We start from the raw sequence: 27236 nt of genomic DNA on the forward strand, positions 1-27236 counted from the left end.
GGTGTGCTTGAAAAGTGCACTTGACCTCTGAGTCTGAGTTTTCTCACCTGTTAAAATGAGGTAATAATGCCTATCCCACCTATTCACAGGAGCATTTTGAGAATCCGAGGGTTTAAAGTAAGTGAAAGCACTTTGTAAACTGTGAACCACTAAGCAAATGTTAGTGATTATGTTGAAGATGGTCATTAGTTTCTGGACCTGTGCAGAGAACATTGTACACAGACGATAAACTGAACAGGATTTAAATTAGCTAATTAAGTTGGAGCTTTAAAATGCTTTTAACTAAGTCATTCAGAAGCAGCAGGGCCCACATGCAGACATCTGAACCTCCACGCACATGAAGAGCCATGTGTGAAGGGCATTTCAGTTCTTGGGCTCTGTCAGCATTGATGACAACAAAGGCATGATGAGCTTAACTTTTATATTGATTCTGTTTGACTCTCTGGTGATGGGTTTCCATCTCTGGAGATCTGCCACAGGGCATCTGGCATCCCAGGGCATGTGGTTAGAACTATATTCTAAGGGTGATGGGAAGCCATTGGAAGGTTTAAAAACAGGAGTAACCTGATCTACTTGCCTATCTCTGAGGCTAGTTTTAGTGCTTTCTCATCAATTCTGTGAACTTCTCAATAGATTTCCAATAATCCTTTTTCTGCTTACTGGAGTTGGTATCTATTGTTTGCTTGCAGTCGACAGTGAAGAGACTGCTTGGTGCGGGGGTTTTCACTGTCAACCAGTGAGAAATGATGATGGCTTGGATTGAGTATGGTGGTGAAGATGGAAAGAAGTAAATGGAATGGATTTAAGATGGTGTTGGAGGAATAGGCACTAGAATTTCCTGGTGGTTCGTATATTAGTCAGCTAGGGCTGCCATAACAAAGTACCACAGATGGGGTGGCTTAAACAACAGAAATTTATTTTGTCACATTTCTGGAAACTAGAAGTCTAAGATTAAGGTGTTGGCAGGGTTGGTCTCTTCTAAGGCCTGTCTCCTTGGCTTCTAGATGGCCATCTTACTCTGGTGTCTTTGCATGGTCTTCCTGCTATGAGTGCACATGTCCGTGTTCAGATTTCCTCTTTCTCATCCTTCTTATAAAGACACATATCATATTGGATTAGGGCCCAATCTAATGACCTCATTGTAACCTAAGTATCTCTTTAAGACCTTATTGTCAAATATCATAATATTCTGAGGTAACTGGAGTTTAGGACTTCAACATATGAATTTCAAGGGGATATAATTCAGCCCATAACATGTGGTAAGAGGGAAAGAGAAATCAAAGAAACTTTGATAATTGGTTTGAAAACATTTGTTCATGTTTGTGTAAGCCCAGAAACAGTCTGGAAGGAAAGGCACTAAACTTTTATCGGAGCTGATCCAAGAAGTTGCCAGGAGTCATGGTGAGGGCAGGGGCTTCCTTTCATATTTTATACCCCCAAATATAATTTTTGTTGTACTTACTTCATATTTTGTATACAAAAACAGTGATTTCATTATGGATACTTAATTTTTATCTTCTGATATTGTAAATAGAATATAAAAAATGCTTTAAAAAGAAACTGGAAAATGTGGGGAGGTATTCAATTAAAGACAGAATTAGATTAATGGAAAATGTTTGGGTCCATTTAAAAGTCGAAGGAAAAAGTAGACTTTGTTGACTAAATTCAAAAAATGTTAATATTTTGAAGGGAAAAATGGGATGGAGAACATGGGGAGATTTTTATTGTGGAAATCGTCAAACCTTCCACTTTGGAGGAGAAGTTTTCACAGCCAAGTAGCAGAGCACTGTGTCTTCTTTGATAGCATTAATTACATCCTTTGGGGTCCACAGCTATCTAGAATTGAGACCAGCAGCTAGTAGGAGTTTACCTATATGGAATGAGGTGTCCCCGAGAGAGCTTGTGAGTGGGCTGTCCAATCTTGCTCCCTCTCTCTGGCAATTTGGCCTTGGGGAGGGGAGGGGAAATAGGCTTCCGCTGGTGGGAGCAAGTGGGGAGCACTACTTACCGAGGGCTGTGGAAAATGGTCAAGCTGCCAAACCAAGTGACCAAACAGCCAAGGTAGGCACAAGTGGCAGGATGAACAAGAGGCAGCTCAGGACCCTGAAGCAGGCCCGAAGCTGGTGAGCTATGGTCTTCAGTCATAGGTGGAAGTGTGTCTTGGATGGTGAAGACTTTTTGTTTTTTTTGAGATGGAGTCTTGCTCTGTCGCCCAGGCTGGAGTGTAGTGGCACAATCTTGGCTCTCTGCAACCTCTGCCTCCTAGGTTCAAGTGATTCTCCTCCCTCAGCCTCCCGAGTAGCTGGGACTAGAGGTGCATGCCACCACGCCTGGCTAATTTTTGTATTTTTAGTAGAGACAGAATTTCACCATGTTGGCCAGGCTGGTCTCAAATTCCTGGCCTCAAGTAATTTGCCCACCTGGGCCTCCTGAAGTGCTGTGATTACAGGTGTGAGCCACCACGCCCTGCCAGTGAAGACTTCTTGAGAGGAATGGACATCCTTTCTACTTCCCAGGGCGTCCCCTGAGACCCAGAGGCCCATGTTTTAAGGAAATAAAGACATAAGTCTGGTGGACTCTATTGAAGATTCACCCATCCATCTATCTGTAAGCAGACAGGGAGGATCTCCAGGGACTATAGGAATTTAATCAACTTGAGCAATCAGCCTGTTTTACAGCATCTTGTCTTGAAGCCTGTTTTGTCCCAAACCCTATGTGGAATGTGGTCACCCAGTTGGTTGACACCAGCTCCTGACAGACCCTGGCAAATTATAAATGAACCTGAGTGAACTTTCCTCATTACTATGCTAGAGTCCACCCCCCCACCAACCCCCTCAGGGGAGCTATAGCCTCATTACCATAACATGTGACCTATGTGCTGGTGTGATGACTCATTGCATCTGCACCACTGGTGGGACCCTTCCTCTACATGCGCTGACACTTCCTCTCTACTCTCCATTGCCCCGTAAAACCCTCCTGTCACTTTCCCTCAGGGAGACACTGCCTTGGAGAACACACCAGTGCTCTTCTTTTTTGTGACAAATAATAAAATGCTTATTGAGAAAAAACCTGTGTTCTCGTGGAGAGTTGTTACTTGCCAGGCAAATGAACCCCATTTTTTTCAGGTAATATAGTCAATCATGAATTTAGCAGTACCAGACCATAAACAAACTCTAACTACACCAACATCATTAATTCAAATTAGCTTTGGGGGAATGCTTGCGAAGAAAAGCATTTTCATGAATTTCCAATATGTAGGGTGATGAAAATGAAGCTAGAAGCACGTTACCAACTAGAGGTTCTTTGAGGGTCAGCTTTTAAGGAAAGATGACAATAATTTGTAAGTAGTATAAAAATGTTTACATGTAAATGGATGCTGCTATGGTTCTTACAATATGTTTCTTCAAGTAAGGTAAAAAATTTGGGCTGAGATTTTGTTTATTGTCCTCATTTACTTAGCAAACTTTTCTTCACAGATAGCATGAAGGTAACCTTCATCTCAGACAATGTCTGAAATCGCATATATTTTAAAATAATAGATTTCCTTTTCATAAGAATTGTTTCTATTAACCCTAGCCCAATAAGAAGAAAGGTATAGCAGTAGGAAGAAAAAAAAAATAATGCTTATTCTGGTATACGTAAAAATCATAATCTAAGTTGTCTGATGTTTCAAATTCTTTCAATTTGTCTTTACCACAGTGGATAAGTCAAAGTTAAGATCTAGAAGTCACTAGAATAAAATTATAAAGTTGAAAACATGACAGTACAGTTGCAAGGCTTCACTCCAGAAGCTTCATTTGAGTTACCGAGGGCAGTGGTGGTGGGAATCGTGTTCAGAAGGACATCCTTAAAGTTTCAGATCTTGCTGAAATAAAAATACCAGGCAGAGCTGGTTAACGGGTTAGCGTTCATCCCAGTGGCTCAAGTTCACCCTGATGATTAATTACAGTCTTGTTCGCCTGGTGTTAATAAGGCTTCCAAGAAGCCAGGCCCCTCCTCCCCACCAACCTCTGAAATTATTCTTCATTTTCAAGCACTGTGATAATCAACCAGAAAAAAATAATAGCGGCTCTGGAGACCTGCCCCAACCGGCTCTCTTGCTTGTTCTCTTTGAATCTTTTCTCTGGCCTCTTTACCTCACATGCTTCCCCTATGTGCAGTTTCTCTTTAGGCTGTAGAACACACACACACACACACACAAACACACACACACACACACACACACACACACACTCTCTCACGTAAACCCCTTCTTAGACTCCCTGAGAGCTTAGCAGAAAACAAGTCCTTGCTTGTGGGGAGCTTAGGAAGGCCAGCCCAGGAAAGCAAGGCTCCGGTGGCTGCTCGCCACGGGCTTTCTCTTTCGTATCCTGCCAGATGGTTTCCAACCCCCTTTCAGTTCCAGAACGGCCTAAAGCCCAGGGCGGGCAGGCTGCCTCCCCGGAGTGACATCTGTGTTTCTAGGAAGGCAGTCTTCTGGTTCTCTAAGACACTCTCTACTCTTCCTGCTTTGGCCTAAAAGCCTGCACTGGGGGAACCTTGCCTTTAGCTGAGGTGATAATCCTCTTTAAAATGCAAATCCCCCTGGGAGAGGGGACAAGTTGTAGCTCATACATCCTTTGCACTAGACAGGGAGCGAATTTCTGTAACCTGGGAGAGTACCAATTCACTTGGATCCTGTGGGCCCATAATATGGAGGGACTAAACTCTTAGCACAGGGTTGATAGGAATTCCAGTGATGATTGATGAAATGAATTGAGGTGCCCTGGAGAGAGGCCATGCAGGGTAGATCTGAGACTGTTCTAATACTCCTATGGTGGCTCTGGTCTGCCTAACTATTGTAGTATAGTAGCTGTTTTTACTAGACTGTCTTCCTACAGAATAGTAGGCAGAGATTGTGTTTGTCATGACTGTATTCTCAGTGCTGAGCGTGGTGTGTCTCAAACACAGTAGGCCCTTAAAGACTGTTTGAAGAACAAATGAAGGAATGAATGGTATGTCGGGTGAAGCCTCCTTCATCAAGAACAAATTCTAACAACTTCTCAGCATGTTTATCAAACCTGGCCACTCTGGAACAGTGACATTGGCTGTCACCTATGTCCAAACTTGCAGGGATTTCTGAATCTGCCTTTGCACAATAGGCACTGGGGCTCTTCACATCCCTCTGGGGGCTGTGCCAGGGCAGCTGCTTTCCCACCCAGCTCACTCCCCAGTTGAGTCTCTGCTTTTTTTTTTTTTTCCAAACCTTTCCACCTGGCTCAGAGCCAAGGAGGCCTCTAAGTCACACTCAGAATTTCCATGACAGTAAATAGACTAAACGAAGGCCTTTCCAGCCCCTGAAAGAGGCCTCTTCCAATTCCGCCCTGTCTGGCAGCATTTTTGTTCCCCCCATTTTGATACAGGCCTGTGGAAGGTCAATGACTCCTTTAAAAATAAGGAAAACATGGACAAGCGCCCAGTTCCTAACCTGCTGACAGTGCAGTTCTCTGCAGCCAGCCCACAGTTCTCTGCTGAAGCCTTCACAGTGATTTTTCACAAAGGTCTGCAATCTATTATGCTACAGTTGACTGCCACATTCAAATGTAAAAACAGATCCTTGGATCAACACCCTATAAAAAGCCAAGAAAAATGTGGTAGTGTTCTTTTCTGGCCGGAGCCAAGAACTTTCTGAGGGAGGAATCCTTTGCAAGCCAGCAGCTCTGTACCTGTGTGGTTTCACTGTAACTTGATCAATTCAGAATCCCGGCAAACTGTAGAGGTTGCAGGCATTAGCCCACCCATTGGGTTGAAAAGGATCTAAAGATGCTGAAGGGACTAATCACTAAATTATTTTCACCAACTCAGAGCTCTTGGAAAGATCCCTCGAGGTCTTTAATTTTATCCAGCTTCCTCGCTGTTTTCAGTCTGGCCTAAGTCATTCTGGAAGATGGCACTTTAAAACCTCTGCTCAAAACATGCTCCCTAGCTAAAATACAGCCACTTTCTTAAAATAAAACAACATGCCTGCAGCCCAGAGATCCTGGCTGAGCCCAAACAAAAACAAAGTTTCCTGCCTGGGAAGGAATGTCCAAGGGACATTGCTTACCACTGGCGCATAAAATCCACACAGGAAAAATGTTAGTTAAGAAAGATCAATTGGAATGTTTGAAGGTGTGGAAAAAAGATACCCATATTCTCCTTCCTGTCAGCTTGTCACCTTTCTCCTGTTGTCCCCTATCCCCTAAGCGTGTCTTAAGGCAGTGAGGAGTGCAGTGTCAGGAGTAGTTGGATAACTAGTTTCAAACTGTTTTGCTGGACTGTAACTACTGGTGGTATGCCACACTGACATTAGCCCCACAAACTCATCCCCTCCCCACAGGACTGCCAAATTGCTGCTCATATTCTGTCTGCTTCATTTGTTCACCTATTGGCAATTACCTTGCTGAGATCATTGTTTTCCTCTTCTGTATTTTTAGCTCCTTATGAAACTTGTAACAGGATGACTATCTCATATCTAGTCTTTGCTTTTCAGAGTTTAGCAAGCTTTGTTTTGGCTGAGTGTGTGGAAGTAACTTTCACTGTGCAACAAGATTCCTTTATGCCTGCTTCAGCCAAATATACATTGAGACATTGATTTTTGTTTGTGAACTCATATGCTGCCAGGTATATGTTTATCCAGATAAACATACACATAGCACACACATGCACAAATACACACACATACTTCTCCCTAGTTTAATTTTTTAAAAACAGCTTTATTGAGGCATAATTGATAAAAGGAATACATATATATTTTTTAATATGTACAATTTGATGAGTTTGGACATATGCAAACACCAATGATACCATCACCAAAATAAAGGTAATAGACATATCCAACACCTCCAAAGATTATTTGTGTCCCCCCACCCCCACTTTCTTGGTGGTAACTTCACTTACATAAATGAGATCTACCCTCTTTATGAATTTTTAGGTGTACAACACTCTATTGTTAACTACAGGTACTATGTTGTACAGCAGAAAAAAAAATCCATTGTATGTATATACCACATTTTCTTTATCCATTCATCTGTTGGTGGACATTTGGGTTGATTCCATATCTTGGCTACTGTAAATAATCCCTAGTTTAATTTTGATCTAAATGAAATACACATTAAGTATTGAATCCTGTTCTTAGGTCCTTGTTCTGTGGTCAGATGCCAGTACCTGTATTATATCACATTCCCTGTGTCCATCAAAGTACCTGGTACATGGTAGACACCTAATACATGTTGAATGAATAAAGACACAAGTAGATAAATAGTTTCTAGATCAATTTTCAGGCTGGGAGAAAAATCTAAGAAGAAAAGAAATACCATAGAATTGCTGCTTTCTGCTTCATCTTCCGACATTGACTTTAGGGAACTGGGGGAAGGGGGCCATATGCGGGGAACTAGGGGAGAGAGGGTGCATGCAGGTATGTGTCTCCTCCAGATCTGTACAGAGCCATATCCTTCTTGTCATTTAGTTTTCATTTTAACTATCACCTTCTCAGATGACCTTTCCTGACTACCTTGTCTAAAGAAACTTTCTCGCCACCTATTGCCATTCCTTTCTCTCACATCACCTTTCTTAATTGTCTTTATGGCACTTTTCCCCATCTGAAATGATTTTACCTATTTGCTTATTTATTGTCTGTAATTTATCTCCCCTTCTCCCCAAAAAACTATTTGAAGAAAAGGACCACGTCTTTCTTTTTATTGTGGTATCCCTACTGCTTAGAAGTGTCCAGCACAGAGTAATTATTCAATGAAGATTTATTAAATGGCCGAGGAAATGAATCCCCCATTGCTTGGTAACGGAAGCCTTAAGGGAGATATCAATAGGAAGCAGGTCAAAAACTAACAGTTCAGCTTCTCCCAAACCCCTCCTTTCTCTTCATCTGTTTCCCTGGCTGGACCCCGGAGCATCTCACGCTGTCTATCCTTGAATGCCCAGTTTTATGGCCTAAGCAGCTGGTGCCGATCCCCAATGCCCTTGCTTTCTGGCTTCCACAGCTCATTCCTGATGATGTGGGCTGGGAATTGTTGCCTTTGACATGCTGACACCGCCTCTCCCATCGGCACTATTGCTGAGCGGATGGTTCCCTGCCCTGTCCTGCTCGCTGCCTTCAAGCTGTCAGCCCTTTCCCACACCACACAGCTGGCACACATGGAAATGGAGCCCTGACACGCCCACATGGGTCGCAGCCTCTGGGTTGAGTAGTTTACGGCTCACCCCAATCTGCCTCAGATGTTGCTCCCTGACTCATTCCTCATCTTCCTGCCATCTGTCTCCTTGTCCTGTTTTCCCTCTTAGGCTCCTACAAAGGCCTTCAGCTTTGACCTTTGGCTCCTTTTCTGGACCACAATTGGTACTCTCCCTCTGGCCACAATATGGTCAACCAGCCTAAGTTAAATGGGCCCTTCAGCCTGCTTTGGCCCTCCAGTGCTGCGGCACCCTCTCCGTCATCCCGTCTCCTCTAGGCTTTCTTCAATTCCCTTGGTCGTTACAGTACTTGTCCTCCCTCACCTCCCCCCTGTTATGCCCAATGATACTTTTTTTGGGCACCAGATTGGGCACTTTATTTCTTATGTAATGATCATGATAATATATACCCTCTATTGCAAACTTTTTGCGTACCAAGCATGGTAAGGGGAAAAAAAACTTTATGTGATCTTGTTTGATTATCTTAAAAGTTCTTAGAGTGAGGTATCAGTAAACTGATCTTAAGAGTGAAAAAAACTAAAGCTCAGACACTGAGTAGTTTTCCTAAGGTTACACAACCAGAAAATGGCAGAGTGAGGATTTGAACTCAGGCCTGTCTGACCTCTGAGCTAGTCTAATCATTATACTATGCTATCTTTCTCCACTATGCCTTTACTTCTTGGCAGCCCCTCTTCTTGCTCTGGAGTTAGACAGTCTCGCATTCAAATCTCAACTCAGATGGCTACTCTGTCTATATGATCTTGGGTAAATCATTTCCTTCCTAGGACAAGATGTGGCATGAGAAAGGCATGGAAGCTTGGCCTTTCTTGCCATCTGAATCTCAGTTCTGCCTAGACATTGCCTTTCCTCTAAGGTTAATAATAATGGTAACTAGCACTACTATTACAAGCAAGTGCTTGCTGACTTTCTATCACTCCTCCTCCTCCTTGTCCTCTAACTACTGTAGTATATTGAGTCCTTGCTGTGTGCCCGACAATGTTCCCAGCAACTTTTCTTTTCTTTTTTTTTTTTTTGAGGCAGGGTCTCATTCTGTTGCTCAGGCTGGAGTGCAGTGGTGTAATCATGGCTCACTGCAGCCTTGACCTCCTGGGCTCAAGCAAGCAATCCTCCCACCTCAGCCTCCTGAGTAGCTGGGACAGCAGGCATGCACTACCATGCTTAGCTAATTTTTCTTTATTTTTTGAAGAGACAAGATCCTAGTATATTGCCCAGGCTGGCCTAGATCTCCTGGGCCCAAGTGATCCTCATGCCTCAGCCTCCCAAGGTGTCAGGCTGGAGGGAGGGAGAAATAGGGAGGTAGTGGTCAAAGGGTACAAAGTTGTTTCAGTCATGCAAGATGAATAAGTTTTGGAGATCTACTGTACAGGCGTGAGCTGCTGTGCCCAGACTGTGCCCAGCAAATTTATGTACATTATTTCCATTTAGCCTCTACAATCTTGTAAATTAGGTATTGATAACACAGTCACAGAGAAGCTAACGAATTGTTGAAGATCATCAGCTAAAGAGTGGCCTAGTTAAGATTTGAATGCACATCTGCTCAACTCCAAAGCCTGCTTTCTTTCCCCTGACATCTTTCAATTTTTTGAGTGGGCGGATAAAATTGCTTCCCACTCTTCTCTATAATTGACTTCCCATAAGCACACTATTAGTACAGTAGCAAAGGCAACCTACCAGTTATTTAAGAATTTAAGGGAAATTAAAATGCTATGATTTCTTTAAAAAATTGAAGACCTATAGTGATCTGCCTGTCAGTGGTAAAGTTCTTGCATAGGTGACATTTGTTTTATCATGTCATGATCTATGAGGTCAGACACCAAAAGGAGATTGTGTTTTCCCCTTTTCCATGGTATGATTTTCTGTGTAATCACTCAGGCTAAGCCCACTATTCAATTGATAAAGGTGGTATAATCATCCTCACTTCTGATTACTCTACATAAGCTTTACATTGTGGTATGAAAAGGTGAAATGCTACTCCACGTAAACCGTGCCAACTACTGACAATCTCTATTGGATCATCTCAGAGTACAGGAAAACAGTGACCACAGTCAGCATCTTTCAAATACTGAGCCATCTAAAATGGCATTGTGAGCAAGAAAGGTAATCTGTGGCACCACATGTGTGCCTCTTTTGCTCTTTCCCCCATACCTCTTAGCAAGGACCTAGATGAGCTGCCATGCACGGCAGAAGGCTAAGCTGAGGTGCTCACATAATCTCTGGAATCCTCTGCTTTCTCTGAGAGAGGGTTGAGTTTTCTTTAATGTTTTTCATGAAGAAGGCAACAGCGAGGCAGAGCTATGTGTGTTTTTGAAATGAGGCAGAGCTCAGTTTTCATTGGTTTTGCATTATTTTCCAATTACAAATGAGCTTAATAATGCTCATTAAAACAGGTCTTTTGATTTGGGGAAACACTGTGATTCTCAATATTATGACAGTGGGAGGAGGCTGTCAGGCTGGAGAAGGGCATTCCTTCTCATTAGAATTGCCTGGGAGACATCTTCAAATTAGAATACATTCCCCTTTCTCTTGCAGGAACAATTTCTTCAGTTAAGAATTACGGTACCTATAGCGAACTGATCCTATATATACACGTATTTGGGGACAGCTATTAGATTTGAGGATACAGAGAAAAAAATTAAAATATATTGTTCTAACTTTTGCATTCCGAAGGGTAACACTGACCAAGGGCTAGAACATAGTTATTATTTATTAAATGTTTGTTAAGTAACAAATATTTAACATGGAGCTCAAGAAATGTCTTCTTCTTGGAAAGTCTACAGAAAGCTTGTCCAACCCATTGCCTGCAGGCAGCATGCGGCCCAGGATGACTTTGAATGTGGCTCAACACAATTTGTAAGCTTTCTTAGAATATTATGAGATTTTTGGAATTTTTAAGCTCATCAGCTATTGTTGGTGTTAGTGCATTTTATGTGTGGCCCAAGACAATGCTTCTTCCAATATGGCCCAGGGAAGCCAAAAGATTGGACACCCCTGGTCGATAGCATCTCATTGCATTTCTCAGTAAGTTCCAATGGACTGGGTCTTGGTATTGTGCCTTGCAGGTGAACATAAAAGCCAACATGTGCTATTCAAGACAGACTTGATGAGACTCTGAGCCAAGCAGACTTTCTCTGGGGCTTGGGTGAGAATGTACAGCATAATATTGGTGAAGAGGCTTAGTCTGGTACCTAGACGGCTAGAGGCTTTGGGAGCCTCCACACACAATGGCGTGGCATGGACCCTGTTGTTCTCAAGATGGGCAGAGGTAGGGTTAAGCTCTTGGGGACTTTGTGGACAGTATCATGAACAAGAGGAAGCATTTTCAAGAGAGGAAGACCACTGAAGATACTGAGGTCAACAGGCTGGTTTGTAGACATGTGAGACATCCTATTAGAGATACCCAGAAATAACATGCGTTATGTGGAGTGGAATACCACTGTCATGCAGGCAGGCACGATCAAAGCAGAAGGTACTTTGGTTACATAAGTATGTGCCAGGCTAAGTGATAATGGTTAGTGGGGGGTGTTTCAATCTACACATATTTGAGATATCAGCCTTGTGCTTTGAACCATCCCAACCCTTACATCATTCTGATCCAGAGTTGCTGTTAACCTCACTCTGCAATCTGAAGTCTGAGTGATTGACCAGAGCAACTGAGCTACTCCTGCCATGTTGCTGCCAGATTATTTCTTCTAGCAATTTTTATTAAAAGGCTCTGTTGGTCTCTGCTCTTAGATATTTTCTTTGCAATAATCATCCAACCCTCTCTAACAATGTCTTCTGTACTTGGCTGCTCCACTCATTCTTCTCGTTTCCTTAGTTTGTCCTCCCACCCAAGCCGTACTTCCACCTGAGTGTTGGGCATATTTAAACCTGTTGAGACAAGGAAGAGGGGGAGGGAGAAGCAGCTGACAGGAGGCTTTGGCACCAGCTCACATCTGACTAAAGGGCAAGTTACAACCTTGCCAAGCTTTCTTCCATTTTTGAATCTTTACCCTGGGGATCCAAATGCTGAGTTACTGCCCAAAGGGTTAGTGAGGAGATGCCTTTTAAAAGCCAGTAAAATCATTTTGAGATGTTGAGGGCTGTGCCCAGGCCCAACAACTCATGTGTTCTTTCTGTCATGCAGATCATGAACATAGGGTGGGTAGGGCTGGAGGGCCAGGGAGAGTGAGAGGCTTCACTGGGAATAGGAGCAGGCAGCAGGTTTGGAGCTGATGCAGGTTTATAAAGGTTACTGGGCTGTCCTGACAAGCAAGACAAGGTTAAAAAATAAAGCATTAATTCCAGAACATCTACATGGAACACTTGTGTGAAGTGATGAAAGAAAGAGTATGGCATTAGGTTCAGCAAGAGTAGGGTTTCAGTTGTGGTTTCAACCCTAGCATTGCACAAGTTACTTTCTCTGAGTCTCAGTTTCCTTCTTGGTAAAATGGGGCTATAACAAAATCTATTTCCTTTGATAGATAAAACCTTTGTTGCTGGGAGGATTAGAAGTAATAACAGACTTATAAAAATTGGCATATAGTTGTGAATCCATTACTTTTTTTCTCTTTGCCTTATTTATTTTCTTCTTTGGTGCTTATTCTGAAATTCTAAAAATCAAAATGAAATAATTTTTAAAAAATCAAATAAATTGAATCCTGGAGGGTGCAGCAGGATGGCAAAACAGAAACCTCCACCAATTGTCCTCCCCAACAAGACACCAAGTTGTACGACTATCTACACACAAAAAAAACCTTCATAAAAAGCAAAACTCAGGTGAGCACTCATAGACCTGTTTTTAACTTCATATGGCTGAAAGAGGCACTGAAGAGATAGAGAAAACAGTCCTGAATCACCAATGCCATCTCTCCCCATCCTCTGGCAGTGGTGGCCTGGTGTGGAGAGCCTCTCTGGGTGCTGTGGGAGGAAGAACACAGCTACTGTGAGTCACTGAACTCCATGCTGTTCTATTAGAGCAGAAAGGAAAACTGGATCAAACTCAGCTGATGCCCACCCACAGAAGGAGCATTTAAGTGAGCCCTAGCTAGAGGGGAATTGCCAATCCCAGCGGGCTGAACTTGAGTGCTTACAAACCTTGCTACTGAGGGCTACAGCACTCTGTGTCTCCAAGTAAACTTGAAAGGCAGTCTATGCCATAAGGACAGGCTCTCTTAGGCGAGGCCTAGGGCTGAACTAGGCCCAGGGACAGTGGACTAAGGGAGCATGTGGCATACAGAGACACCAGCTGGGGAAGCCAAGGGAGCTCTGGTCTCATCCTTCCCCTAACCCCAGGCTGCACAGCTTGTGACTCTAAAAGAGAACTCTTCCTTCTGCTTGAGAAGAGGAGAGGGAAGGATGAGGAGGACTTTGTCTTGCATCTTGGATGCCAGCTCAGCCACAGTAAGACAGGGCACTGGGCAGAGTCATGATGCCCTAGCTTCCAGATGACATTTCTAGACACACCCTGGGCCAGAAGGGAAACTTCTGCCTTGAAAAACAGGGTCCAGTGCTGGTAGCATTTATCACCTGCCAGCTGAAGAGCCCTTGGGCCCTGAATAACCAGTAGGCATACCCAGGTACTACATCGAAGGCCTTGGGTGAACTTCTGAGACTTGCTGGCTTCAGATGAGACTCAGCACATTACCAGGTGTGGTGGCTATGGGACAAAACTCCTTCTGCTTCAGAAAAGCCAAGGGAAAAGCAAAAGGGACTTGTACCTTAGGTACCAGCATTGTCACAGCAGAGATAGAGCACCAAGAGGGCTTTTGCAGTCCCCAATTCCAGGACTCAACCCTTTCACAGCATTTCTGGACCTACCCTGGGCCAGCAAGGAGCCCACTGTCCTGAAGGGTGAGTCCCAGGCCAGGCAGCATTCATGACAAGCTGCCTTTAGAGACCTTGGGTTATAAGGGAACACCAGTTGTAGTCTGGCAGTACTCCTCATGGCCTGGGGTGGTGGTGGCTATGGGGTGAGGCTCCTCTACCTTTGAGAAAGGGAGAGAAGAATGGGAATGACTGCATCATGTGGTTTGAGTGCCAGCTCAGCTGCAATACAATAGAACACCAGGTAGATGTGTGAGTTTTTATTCCATTCCCTGACTCCTGGACAGAACTTCTGGACCCAGATGGGGACTAGGGGACCTCACCAACCTGAAGAGAAAGATACAGGCCTGGCTGGCTTTCCTACTTGCTGATTGTAGAGCTCCAGGGCCTTGAGGAAACATAGGCAGTAGCCAGGGCCTGGTTACAGTGGGCCTTGGGTGAGGCCCAGTGCTGTGTTGGCTTCAGGTCTGACCCAATGCAGTCCTAGCGGTGGTCTGACCCAATGCAGTCCTAGCGGTGGTGGCCACAGGGATACTCGTGTCACTCCACCCCCAGCTTTAGGTGTCTCAGAACAGAGAAAGAGGCTCTGTATGCTTGGGCGAAAGTAAGGGAAAAGAACAAGAGTCCCTTCTTTGTAATTCAGATAATTCTCCTGGATCTTGTCCAAGACCATCAAGGTAATACCTCTGAGTCTATAAGAACCAGAGTGTTACTGGGCTTGGCATGCCCCCCAAAGCAGATACAACTTACATCATAATACCCAAGTCCTTTAAAATATCTGAAAAGCCTTCCCAAGAAGGATAGGTACAAACAAGCCCAGATGCAAAGACTATAATAAATACCTAACTCTTCAATGCCTGACACTGAAGAACATCCACCAGCATCAACACCATCCAGGAAAACATGACCTTGCCAAATGAACTAAATAAGGCACCAGAGACCAATCCTGGGAAAACAGAGACATGTGACCTTTCAGTCAGAAAGTTCAAGATAGCTATTTTGAGGAAGCTCAAAGAAATGCAAGATAGCACACAAAAGGAATTCAGAATTCTATCAGATAAATTTAACAAAAAGATTGAAATAATTAAAAAGAATCAACCAGAAACTTTGGAGCTGTAAAATGCAATTGGCTTACTGAATAATGCAATCGGAAGAAGGAATTAGTGAGCTTGAAGACAGGCTATTTGAAAATACACAATCAGAGGAGACAAAAGAAAAAAGAATACAAAACAATGAAGCATGCCTACAGGATCGAGTAAATGGCCCCAAACGGGGAAATCTAAGAGTTAAAGAGAAGGTAGAGAAAGAGATAGAGGTAGAAAGTTTATTCAAAGGGATAGTAACAGAGAACTTCCCAAACCTAGATAAAGATATCAATATCCAAGAACAAGAAGGTTGCAGAACACCAAGCAGATTTAACTTTTTAGTGAGAACCTTATAGGCCAGAAGAGAGTAACATAACATATTTAAAGTGCTGAGGAAAAAAAAAAACACCCTTATACCTAGGATAGTATATCTGACAAGAACATCCTTCACATGTGAAGGAGAAATACTTTCCCAGACAAACAAAAACTGAGGGATTTCATCAATATACCAGACCTGTCCTACAAGAAATGCTAAAGGGAGTATTCAATCAGAAAGAAAAGGACATTAATGAGTGACAAATAATTATGTGAAGGTACATAACTCACTGTAACAGTAAGTACACAGAAAAGCACAGAATATTATAACACTGTAACTGTGAAGTGTAAACTACTCTTATCCTAGCAGAGGGACTGAATGATAAATCAATCAAAAACAGTGACTACAACAACTTTTCAAGGCACAGTCAGTACAGAAAGATGTAAATAGAAACAACAAAAAGTTAAAAAAGGAAGACAAAGTTAAGATGTAGAGTTTTATTAGTTTTCTTTTTGCTTGATTGTTTATGCAAATAGTGTTAAGTTGTTATCAGGTTAAAATAATGGGTTATAAGATAGTATTTGCAAGCTTCATGATAACCTCAAACCAAAAAACATACAATGGATACACAAGAAATAAAAAGCAAGAAACTAAATCATATCTCCAGAGGAAATCACCTTCATTATAGGAAGACAGGAAAGAAAGGAAGAAGAAAGAGAAGACAATAAAATAATAATTAAACAAAGAACAAAATGGCAGGAGTAAGTGCTTATCAATAATAGCATTAAATGTAAATGGTTTAAAATCTCCAGTCAAAAGACATAGACTGGCTGAACAGATGAAAAAACAAGACCCATTGATCTGTTGCCTAAAAGAATTACACTTCACCTCTAAAGACACACATAGACTGAAAAGAAAGGAATGGAAAAAGATATTCCATGGAAATGGAAACCAAAAAAGAGCAATGGTTGCTACACTTATATCAGAAAAAATAGATTTCAAGACAAAAACTATAAGAAGAGTCAAAGAAGGTCACTATATAGGTCACTTTATAATGCTAAAGGGGTTAATTCATCAAGATGATATAACAATTTTAAATATATATGCACTCAACACTGGAGCACCCAACTATATAAAGGGAATACTATTAAAGCTAAAGAGAGAGATGGGCCTTAATACATTAATAGCTGAAGACTTCAACACCCCACTTTCAGCATTGGACAGATCTTCCAGATAGAAAATCAACAAAGAAACATCAGAGTTAATCTGCACTATAGACCAAATGGGTCTAATAGATATTCGCAGAACATTTCATCCAAGAGCTGCAGGATACACATTCTTTTCCTCAAAACATGGATTATTCTCAAGGATAGACCATATCTTAGGTCAGAAAATATGTCTAATATGTCTTAAAACATTCAAAAAATTCAAATAATAAGAAGCATCTTCTCTGACCACAATGGAATAAAACTAGAAATTAATAAGATAAATTTTGGAAACTATACAAATACATGGAAATTAAACAATAAGCCTGAGTGACAGTGGGTAAATGAAGAAATTAAGAAGGACATTGAAAAATTTTTTGAAGCAAATGATAATGGAAATACAATATACTAAAACCTATAGAATACAGTAAAAGCAGTACTAAGAAGAAAGTTTATAAATGTCTACATCAAAAAAGAAGAAAAACTTCAAATGAACAATCTAGTGATGCATTTTAAGTAACTAGAAAAGCAAGAGCAAACCAAACCCTAACTTGGTAGAAGAATAGACATGATAAAGATCAGAGCAGAAATAAATAAAAATTGAAATTTTAAAAATAATACAAAAGACAAATGAAGGAAAATGTTGTTTTTTGAAAAGTCAAACAAAATTGATAAACCTTTAGTCTAAGAAAAAGAGAAGATCCAAATAAAAAAAAAATCAGAAACAAAAAAGGAGACATTACAACTGATACTGCAGAAATTCAAAGGATCATTAGTGGCTACTATGAGCAACTAAATGCCAATAAGTTGGAAAATCTAGAAGTAATGGACAAATTCCTAGATATTACAAACTACCAAGATTGAACCAGGAAGAAATCCAAAATCTGAACACACCAATGACAAGTAATGAGATCAAAGCTGTAATAAAAAGTCTCCCAGTAAAGAAAAACCTAGGATCTGATAGCTTTACTGCTGAATTTTACCAAATATTTAAAGAAGAACTAATACCAATCCTACTCAAACTATTCCTAAAAATAGAGAAAGAGGAAATACTTCCAAACTCATTCTAAAGTCAGTATTACTCTGATACCAAAACCAAAGACACATTAAAAAAAAAGGAAAAAGAAAAGAAAACTACAAGCCAATAGCTTTGATAAATATTGATGCAAAAATTCTCAATAAAATACTAGCAAACTGAATTCAACAATGAGAAAGATCATTTATCATGACCAAGTGGTATTTATTCCTGGGATGTAAGGATGTTTCAACATATGCAAGTCAATCAATGTGATGTATCATATCAATAAAATGAAAGATGAAAATCTTATGATCATGTCAATCAATGCTGAAAAAGCACTTGACAAAATTCAACATAAAAACTTCATTATAAAAACCCTCCAAAAGCTGGGGATAGAAGGAACATACCTTAACATAACAAAAGCCATATATGACAGACCCGAGGTTAATATTATACTGAATGAGAACAACCTGCATGCCTTTCCTCTATGATCTGGAACACGACATGGATGCTCACTGTCACCACTGTTATTCAACACAGTACTGGAAGTCACAGCTACAGCAATTAGACAAGAGAAAGATAGAAAGGGCATCCAAATTAGAAAAGAAGAATTCAAGTTATCCTTGTCTGCAGATGCTATGATCTTATATTTGGAAAAACCTAAAGACTCTACAAGAAAATTATTAGAACTGATAAGTAAATTCAGTAAAGTTGCAGGATACAAAATCAACATACAAAAATAAGTAGCATTTCTCTATGCCCATAGTGAACAATGAGAAAAAGAAATTTAAAAAGTAATCCCATTTACAATGGCCACAAATAAAATTAAATACCTAGGAATTAACTGAACCAAAAAAAAAGAAAGGTCTCTGTAATGAAAACTATAAAACACTGATGAAAGAAATTGAAAAGAACACCAAAAAATGGAAAAATGTTCCATGTTCATGGATTGAAAGAATCAATATTGTTAAAATGTCCATATTTCCCAAAGCAATCTATAGATTCAATACAACCCCTATCAAAATACCAATGATATTCTTCTCAAGTATAGAAGAAACAATCCTAAAATGTATGTGGAGCCATAAAAGACTCAGAATAACCAAAATTATCCTGGGCAAAAAGAACAAAACTGATGGAACCACATTACCTCACTTCAAATTATAGTACAGATGGATAGTAAACAAAACAACATGGTACTGGCATAAAAACAGACACATAGACCAATGGAACAGAATAGAGAACCCAGAAACGATCCACACACCTACAGTAAACTCATTTTTGACAAAAGTGCCAATAACACACACTGGGGAAAAGACGGTATCTTTAATAAATAATGTTAGGAAAACTGGATATCCATATACAGAAGAAAGAAACTAGACCCGTATCTCTTGCCATATAACAAAAATCAAATCAAAATGGATTAAATACTTAAATCTAAAACCCCAAATTATGAAACTACTACAAGAAAACACTGGGGAAACTCTCCAGGACATTGGTCTTGGTCTTGAGCAATACCCCACAGATACAGGCAACCAAAGCAAAAATGGACAAATGGGATCACATTAAGTTAAAAAGATTCTGCACAACAAAGGATACAATCAACAAAGTGAGGAGACAACCCACAGAATGGGAGAAAATTTTTGCAAACTACCCATCTGACAAGGGATTAACAACGAGAATATATAAGGAGATAAACTCTTCATGTCCCTTTTAACTATTCCTCTTGAGCTCAATTTAAAATATCTGGTTATTTTCTGTGAAATTGAATCCATATATCTTTCAGAGTAGTGACTGTGGGAAAAAATGACATATTCAAACTGGGAGGAGACTTTAATGAAGAATCTACTCATAGGATTGTGGGCAGAGTTTAAGGAAACCAACAAAGGATGGTGCAGTATTCCTGGGCTTGCCTTATTGGAGAGACTTTACTACCCTACACCCTGAGGGCACAAAGGGAGGGAGCTGTCACTAGAACCCAGAGAAGGTAGCTGCATATTGACAGCCACTTAACAGGAGCCCTCAGAAGGTAAGGACAGTGTGCAGCAACCCAAGGGGGAGGAAGCAACAAGAATAAATACCCCAAACTTACTTTTCTCCCTCCCTCTGATCACTTGCCAAAACATACCAGTGACCAAACCAAATAGGAAAACAGGGGACAAAGTAACCACGGTGATGAAGTCCACATGGGTCAGCCTCCCAGGACAGAATGGAGTAGGGTAAAGATCGGATGGGGGAGTGCAAACAGGCCCTCTCTCCACTTCTTGGTTTATAGACCTTCAAAATAGACATGGTCACATAGCTGATCCAGCCCCACTAACCTAGGCCAAGGAGGAAAGATGAAAATATTTCATTTTGGGATTGGATTCACATAAGCTTTTAGGATTCAAACGGCCTTATTCTACCAGTCTGGCCACTACTTTGCCAAATTGGAATTTTGTGTTAAAATTAAAAGAGATTGAGAGCAAAAGAAATGACTCTTACTGTATATATGCAGTGACACATGCAACCTTCATGTCAAATATGATTCTTGGGGTTGTTTGAGGGTCAGGATGCCCAGGCTAAAGCCCTGGTTCTGAAACATTACCAGCTAGGTGATTCCACACAGTTTCCTCCACCTCCTGTAAAGCTACCTTGCTTCTTCTAACTCTGACATACTGTGATTCTATTTTCATTTTTTCCCCAGTTACTACTCTGACAGATTTAGGGCCTCTTCAATTTCACAGAAAAGAACCACATATTTTAAAATTGAGCTCAAGAGGGATTATTAAAGGGTGTATGAATAGTTTATCTTTGAAAAGAGAAAGCAAATAAGCTGCAAAGCAAAATTTAAAAAGTATCTTTAAGTTTTTAACTGAAAGGAAAACATCTTCTCCCCTGAGGAATTATTTTCTCTACCATTTATTAAATATTTTACTGCATTTTCTGGGCATTCAAAGATGAACCAGATGTGAATTCAGCTCTCACAGAACCTCCAGACTGGGAGGGAAGAGGAAACAGACATAGGAAAAATGACAAAGTTGCAAAGGTTGCAGTTATTTGAGGTGGCTTTTGAGGATTGTTATGATTTTATTTTTTCCTTTTATTAAATTAAATTTTATTTTTAAAATTTGCATATAATAATTGTACATATTTATTGAGTACATAATGATGTTTCCATACATATACTGTATAGTGATCAGATCAGGGTAATTAGTGTACCTATCATCTCAAATATTCATAATTTCTTTGTATTGGGAACATTCCATTTCCTCTTTCTAGCTATTTGAAACTAGAATCATCTTACAGTAGTATAGAATACTCTAACTTGTTCCTCCTATCTACCTGTAATTGTATCTTTTAACAAATCTCTCCCTATGACCCCTTCCCTCATGCTTCCTGGCCTCTAGTATCCTCTGTTCTACTTTTTCCTTCTATGATATCAACTTCTTGTAGCTTCTGCATATGGAGGAGAACATGCAGTGCTTAGGTTTCTGTTTCTGGCTTATTTCTCTTAACATATCCTCCAATTTTATCCATGTTGCCATGAATGACAGGATTTCACTCTTTTTCATTAGTGAATACTATTCTATTATGTATATATACCACATTTTCTTTATCCATTCATTAGTTGATAGACACAGGTTGATTCCATATCTCAGCTGTTGTGAATAGTGCAATAATAAACAGGGAGACACAGATGTTTCTTTGATATATTGATTTCCTTTCCTTTGGATAAATAACAAGTATGGGATTGCTAGAGGATATGGTAGTTCTATTTTTAGTTTTGTTGTTGTTGTTGTTTTGAGACAGAGTCTTGCTTTGTCACCCAGGCTGGGGTGTAGTGGTGCAATCTCGGCTCACTGCAACCTCTGCCTCCCGGGCTCAAGCGATTTTCTTGCCTCAGCCTCCTGAGTAGCTGGGATTACAGGAACGCGCCACCATGCCCGGCTAACTTTGTAATTTTAGTAGAGACGAGGTTTCACCATGTTGGCCAGGCTAGTCTCAAACTCCTGACCTCAAGTAATCCCCCTGCCTCAGCCTCCCAAAGTGCTCGAGTTACAGGCGTGAGCCACTGCGCCTGGTCTCTTATGTTATTTTTAAACAAAAAATGTTAAAACATCCATGAAAGGGAGCAGTAAGATTTAAGTTTGAAAAGTATGTTTGGGTCAGCTATAAATGAGTGGATAGATGAATCACACCTGGGGGTAAAAATACTGAGTTGAAATAGCGCCAAAAGGGATTTAGGTACTTATGGAAATGGCTGTTCATCATAAAGGATTTTAGCCCTTGAAGTGGATTATCAACAAATGTAATGGAAAGTCTTAAATGTAGGATTCTAAGAACAGGACAGACATAGCTCAATGATGATATAGAAACAGTAATGATGGAGCAGGGACGAACATGAGGGAAGAAGGAGGGCTGGTTGAAATTGAAGACTTCTTGAGGCCACATTCTGGACTTAGAATATGGTGTTGAAAAAACAAGAGAGATTCTGAAATCAGGTGGTATGGACTTGGATGTTTGTTTTAGTTTTGGTTTCCCCAAATTCAAAATGGGGTTGAAATATGGTTCTTGTGGCTATTCAATACCATAACTTATTGAAAACAATTATCACAAGATTGATCATGTAACTAGACATTCGAAAAATGTTAGCACGCATCCTTGTTTTTTTACAACGTTTGAATGCCGTAGCAATTGCTTCTTTTAAAAATTTCACTTTTCTGAGCTCCAAATCCATGTACTTCTCTTTTCTGCCTTCTTTTAGTTAGCTGTTGACACCTAAAGAGCACTGGTTTCATTTAAAAGTTAAATGCGTCACCATCATGCAATATACAAAAGTAGATCTTTTGCAAATACACTACCATCCATGTCCTTAGATTTTGAAGGCCTATTTCACTTAATAATAGCATTTTAGGTATAAGTGAGAACTATCCTCTAATCATGTGGATTTTTATTCTTGCACCAAATGCCCATGAAGGTTAAACATTCTTCAAGTACTGGGCTTCCCTGTATTTTGTTATTAAGAGAAAGGGGTGGTGGGACCTGGACTGTGGTTTCCCACTTATGTGATATTCCTCAACATATGGAATCCTTTCTCTTCTTCTTGTTCATTTGAAACACAAGAAACAGTTTCATCATATGGTGTGTTGATCTGAAGAGTCCCAGAAAGGGTGAGAGTTCCCCGTGGAATTGTAACCAGGAACAGAACTTAGTGGGTCGGCAGTCATAGTCCCCGAGGGTTCTAGTGTGCTAAAAGAAACAAAGTGAGAGGAGAAACTCTGGTATTAAATAATTAAATACAAGAAAAAGGCCAAAGGAGGAAAATACTTTAGGAATGAGTGGCTGAGACTACACCAAGCCACATATGAATTAGGAGTAGAACTGAGATGAATTGTAGCATTTCTAAATTTTATGTCAGTTTATTAGAATTTAGAGCTGAGAACATGAGACTTGGATAGGTAAAGTCATTTTCCCAAAGTAACCTAACTATTTAATGTAGGATCTCAAGCTAGAACCCAGACTTCTATAGCCCAGTTCAGATCACCATCTCTGCACCTAAGTATATTTGGGAGTTTGGAGATAGCGTTAAAAAAATAAAAAGCTGTATTTAGGCAGAATGAGGTGGAGCCATCTTTTCTTTTCTTCTGATCAGTCTAGGCAGTTTTCCTGGCTTAATTTTAAGATTATGACTGTTTCGGTGTCATATATATATATTCCTGGGCAATGTTTTTGGTGCATTTTTCATCAAAGCATGTCATAAAATCACTTCTGACAACTCTGTTCCTGGTCAGAATGCCCGAAAACTGCACTGACTCCAAATTTCCAGCATGGCCAAGAGACCTGGATGTAGCCATTTTTAAAGTCTTTTATCCACTGGGCACACGCAGTGCCATCTGCCTCAGCAATGCCATGTACCTGCATTCCTAGAGGCACATCTGCAGAGCCAACAGTTTACCCCAAGGCTATAACAGGCTTCCTATACCCTCACTTCTCCAGTCGGACTTATCCAAGGCTATCTAATTAGCTCCTCTGTGTCCTATTCAAGTCTTTATTTTCTCCACAATACCAGAGAACAGAAAAAGATTGTATTTGTACATGTTCTAGTAGGAAAGGTGTGCTGTAGCACCATCTAATATCATAAAACTTGGACTCTATCCTGGGCCAGGATCATAGGCCATGTATTAGAAGGTTAAAAACTTGATAAGATATTGCTTCTTCTCTCAAGGGAATTACAATATCATAAGCAGAATGAGAAATGTCACAAGAAAAGGCAAAATGCTATAGGGCTGGAATGAAGTGATAAAAGTGTAGAAATCACATCAGGTTCAAAGGATTTCAAATGATTTTGTTCAGAATGTAGCACTGAGATGGCCTTTGAAGGATGGATAGGATTTTATAGGCTCAATGGCCAGAGGAATGGAGGAGGGATGTTCCAGACAGAGGGAGAAGCAAGGCCAAGAATTAGCAGCAGTGAGCTTTGGGCCATGGTCAAGAAATGCTGAATAGTTCAGCTGGACCAAAATTTTGGGTAACAATGGGAAAGGAATGGGAGATAGGAAAAGATGGTTAGAATCATATTGAAGGAGTTGAACCTTGAAGGTTTTTGATGAGAATAGTTCTTGAAAAAGAGATTCAAACATTTTAAGTGACTCTGAGGATGAGGATAACACAATGTGTTCATTCAGGTGCCTGGGAGGGTGGCCGTAATGAATGATCTGAGCTAGACCTGTGGGAAACCACTTGTTCACACTGAGGGAGTGCTGGAGCTAGAGTCTAGGGATGTAGCCTCTATGGAAATGCTGAGGGAGACTTGGTTGTTTTGGAATGTTCGACCTTACCCGGTCCTGTTGTTAATTTCTTTTCCCTCCTCCTTCTTGGTTTACTTTGATGGCTTAGTGAACATGGTACAAGATGTATTCTCAAGGAACAAATCTTACTGCTGCTGAAAACACAGTACACCACTCTCAAAAGCTGTATCCTATACAATTTGAATGTTGTGAGTACTTAGAAGCTCTTTTCTTGATGAAAGCCCTTAGCTGAATTTTGAGTTTGCGCTTTTGAATTTAACCAAAGAAGTGGAAGACTGCAAGAGCAAAGTTACCTGCATGACAGGATGCACTTTGTTAAAACTGTTTGAATCAGTGTGATTTAGTTGTATTTATGTGGATACTAAATAAAGTACTCCATATTACTACATTTTAGGAAAGAAAGCCACACAACACACCGGTAATCTGAGAGCTTTCTAGCGTTTTCTTCCCTAAAATGAAGTAGGACAATAAAACTGTCTTCGAAAGGGACTTAACTTAGACTTTAGGAAAGTTGAGAATGTTGATGGCCATAGAAAGACTGGGTAAAATAATCAAGCTGATCCTAGATGTAAACTATGCAAACACAAGGGAAGAATTGTATATACTTGTAAAGAAATGACCCAGAAAACAGCGTTGCACAGTGTTGCACTTTGTGTCCTACCACTTTACAAAATGTAAGTTTCTGGTGTTTTTAAAGTTGTGTCATGCGCCAGTTCCTCTCTTCTAAATTGCTCTGGGACACAGTAGGGACTCAACTGATATTTTGTTGAGGGGATGAGTGGAATCCTCATGCATCTAATAATTTTTAAAAGATCAGAAGCTTTAGGTGAAAATGTAAGCAAAGTAAATAGATCAGAAAAGTTACATAAGTATGTTATAAGGGACTGGGTAAAATGTCAGCACTTGGGAAGTTTCAGCAGCTGTTGGGAAATGCAGCCAGAAAAGCCATATTGGGTTCCCAGGAGAAGAAGAAAGGCCACTCCCTTGCCACAGCACTAAGCACCTGTTTTAGTAATCAGTGTTGGCCTGGGGCTTTGCAGCTAACTTTTAGCCCTGAAAGCACCCATTGGTTTGCGAGGACTTAGGTGGTTTGGCCAGACCCAGGATTAAAGCATCTCATTTATTTTAGTCAATGTTTGCCTATTCCAAAGGGCACTTGTCCACAGGTATCTGTACTTTTTGCTGTATTCTCTCTTTGTAAGCTGTAGCTCATCATCCTCTGGGAACCTCCATACCCGGTATAGAGTTTTAGTGTATGTACACTGGATGCAGACACATTATTATATTTAATCCACATTACACCCCTGTCTTCCTTATTTTACAGCTAAAGGATCAGAGAGGTTACTAGACTTGGCCAAGGTCACACAGCTAGGAGGTGACATAGCTGAAATTCCAACCCAGGATTCTTGGCTTAAGCACAGTATTTTTGTCTGTTGCATGGTGACAGATGCAGGCTTCATTCTACCTTCACTGCCAGGGCAGCGGGGCCTTTCCTGCTTCTGTACTTTGGCGTCAGATTGACTGGCTGGGCATCAAATTCCAGCTCCACTACTTCTTGCTATGTGACCCGAGGCAACTTGCTTAATTTTTCCCAACCTCCATTTCCTTCTCTGTTGATTAGGCTCATGATTCCTTTTCACAGGATTTTCCTTCCCTTACATAAAGCTGAAGGCTGCCTGTGTTGGAAAAAGACTGAGTTAAGATATTATGTGCAAGTTTGTACAAGGCAGCCTCTTCTCAATTGTGGCAGCACTGTGCTTGCTCTAAGCCCTGGATTTGAGAGAGAGAGAAGCAAAGCTCTTGGAGGGAGAAGTTAAAGCCCCAGTTGGTTAATTTCCAGCAGTAAAGCCAAGTCTCCCTGAGCCCCTTTCCTGTCTAGGAAAAGGCGATCCTAACACCTTTCCTAGGGGTGCTTTGGGTATTCACTGAGATTGTGCATATAAAAGCCCTCTGTGGATTTTAAATAATCATATAGATGTTCATTCTCATTATCAGAATAATCTCATTATTTCCAAATCAGGCCTCTCAGCTTAGACTTTTCTAAGTCCACATGAGGTCTCCATTTTCTCCTCTACTAGGAGCAGCAGATTACCAAAGAAAGAAAAGGTAGAGATATGAACGTGCTTCCCATTCACTACTCCCTACCTGTTTCTTGCAGTCGTGTATTCTGGGACTTTCCTCATGGTGGGACCTTTCACACAACCCTCCTCTTCAAGCTGGGCAAGCCTGTTCTTGTCTCTCTTGTGCTTCAGGAGGAAGTACTGGAGAAGATGTAAGTTTTTAAGCCTTCATTTGGGGGGATGTGGAATGAAGGCAAAGGAGAGATGGGCAGGGATGTTTGATTTCATACTATCCCCAGCCCTTAGTGAAGTACTTGGCATCCTAAGAGGTACTTTGTAAATACCTGTTGAATGAATGACTGTGGAAAGTTGGTGGCAGGAAGAAGGGCTAGATGTAGAGAGCTGATGGAAAAGCATGAAGTGTGGCCAAAGAATTTTGCTATTCTCCCTGTTGCTTTTAGACAGGTTAACATCAGACTGCTCTGGAAGCTGTAATTGATGAGGCCAGATTCACAGGACCACAAACAAAACTCCCTGTTGTTTTCATTTCTTTGTCTTGCAGACAAACGCATCAGCTATTTGAAAAAGCAAGCCCAGAAAACAACTGACAAACCAAACAAATCTGGGAGGCTCAGCATATACATTTTTCTCTTCTAGAAGCTCCAAAGTGCTAATATAACATTTACATTTAAATCTGGCGACATTCAAATGAAGAAAGCCAATGTAAGTGAGT

General features: G+C 40.8%; 4 annotated features.

Annotated features, from left to right (window-relative positions):
* Positions 3295–6834: an enhancer, noted in NCBI's record as "VISTA enhancer hs2531". NCBI's record gives its function as "enhancer in: hindbrain (rhombencephalon)[3/5] | midbrain (mesencephalon)[5/5]" and the evidence as "EXISTENCE:transgenic organism evidence [ECO:0001131][PMID:17130149]".
* Positions 4456–5183: an enhancer, noted in NCBI's record as "OCT4-NANOG-H3K27ac hESC enhancer chr11:95070927-95071654 (GRCh37/hg19 assembly coordinates)". NCBI's record gives its function as "activates a minimal SCP1, AML or CMV promoter by ChIP-STARR-seq in naive H9 embryonic stem cells {active_cell/tissue: H9 hESC(naive)}" and the evidence as "EXISTENCE:reporter gene assay evidence [ECO:0000049][PMID:30033119]".
* Positions 8124–8623: an enhancer, noted in NCBI's record as "H3K4me1 hESC enhancer chr11:95074595-95075094 (GRCh37/hg19 assembly coordinates)". NCBI's record gives its function as "activates a minimal SCP1, AML or CMV promoter by ChIP-STARR-seq in naive H9 embryonic stem cells {active_cell/tissue: H9 hESC(naive)}" and the evidence as "EXISTENCE:reporter gene assay evidence [ECO:0000049][PMID:30033119]".
* Positions 25833–27032: an enhancer, noted in NCBI's record as "BRD4-independent group 4 enhancer chr11:95092304-95093503 (GRCh37/hg19 assembly coordinates)". NCBI's record gives its function as "activates an origin of replication core promoter dependent on BRD2, P300/CBP, MED14 and CDK7 cofactors, and independent of BRD4, by STARR-seq in HCT116 cells {active_cell/tissue: HCT116}" and the evidence as "EXISTENCE:reporter gene assay evidence [ECO:0000049][PMID:35650434]".

This window comes from Homo sapiens, chromosome 11 (genome assembly GCF_000001405.40).
Source record: "Homo sapiens chromosome 11, GRCh38.p14 Primary Assembly".
In the NCBI taxonomy this organism is placed as follows: Eukaryota; Metazoa; Chordata; class Mammalia; order Primates; family Hominidae; genus Homo; species Homo sapiens.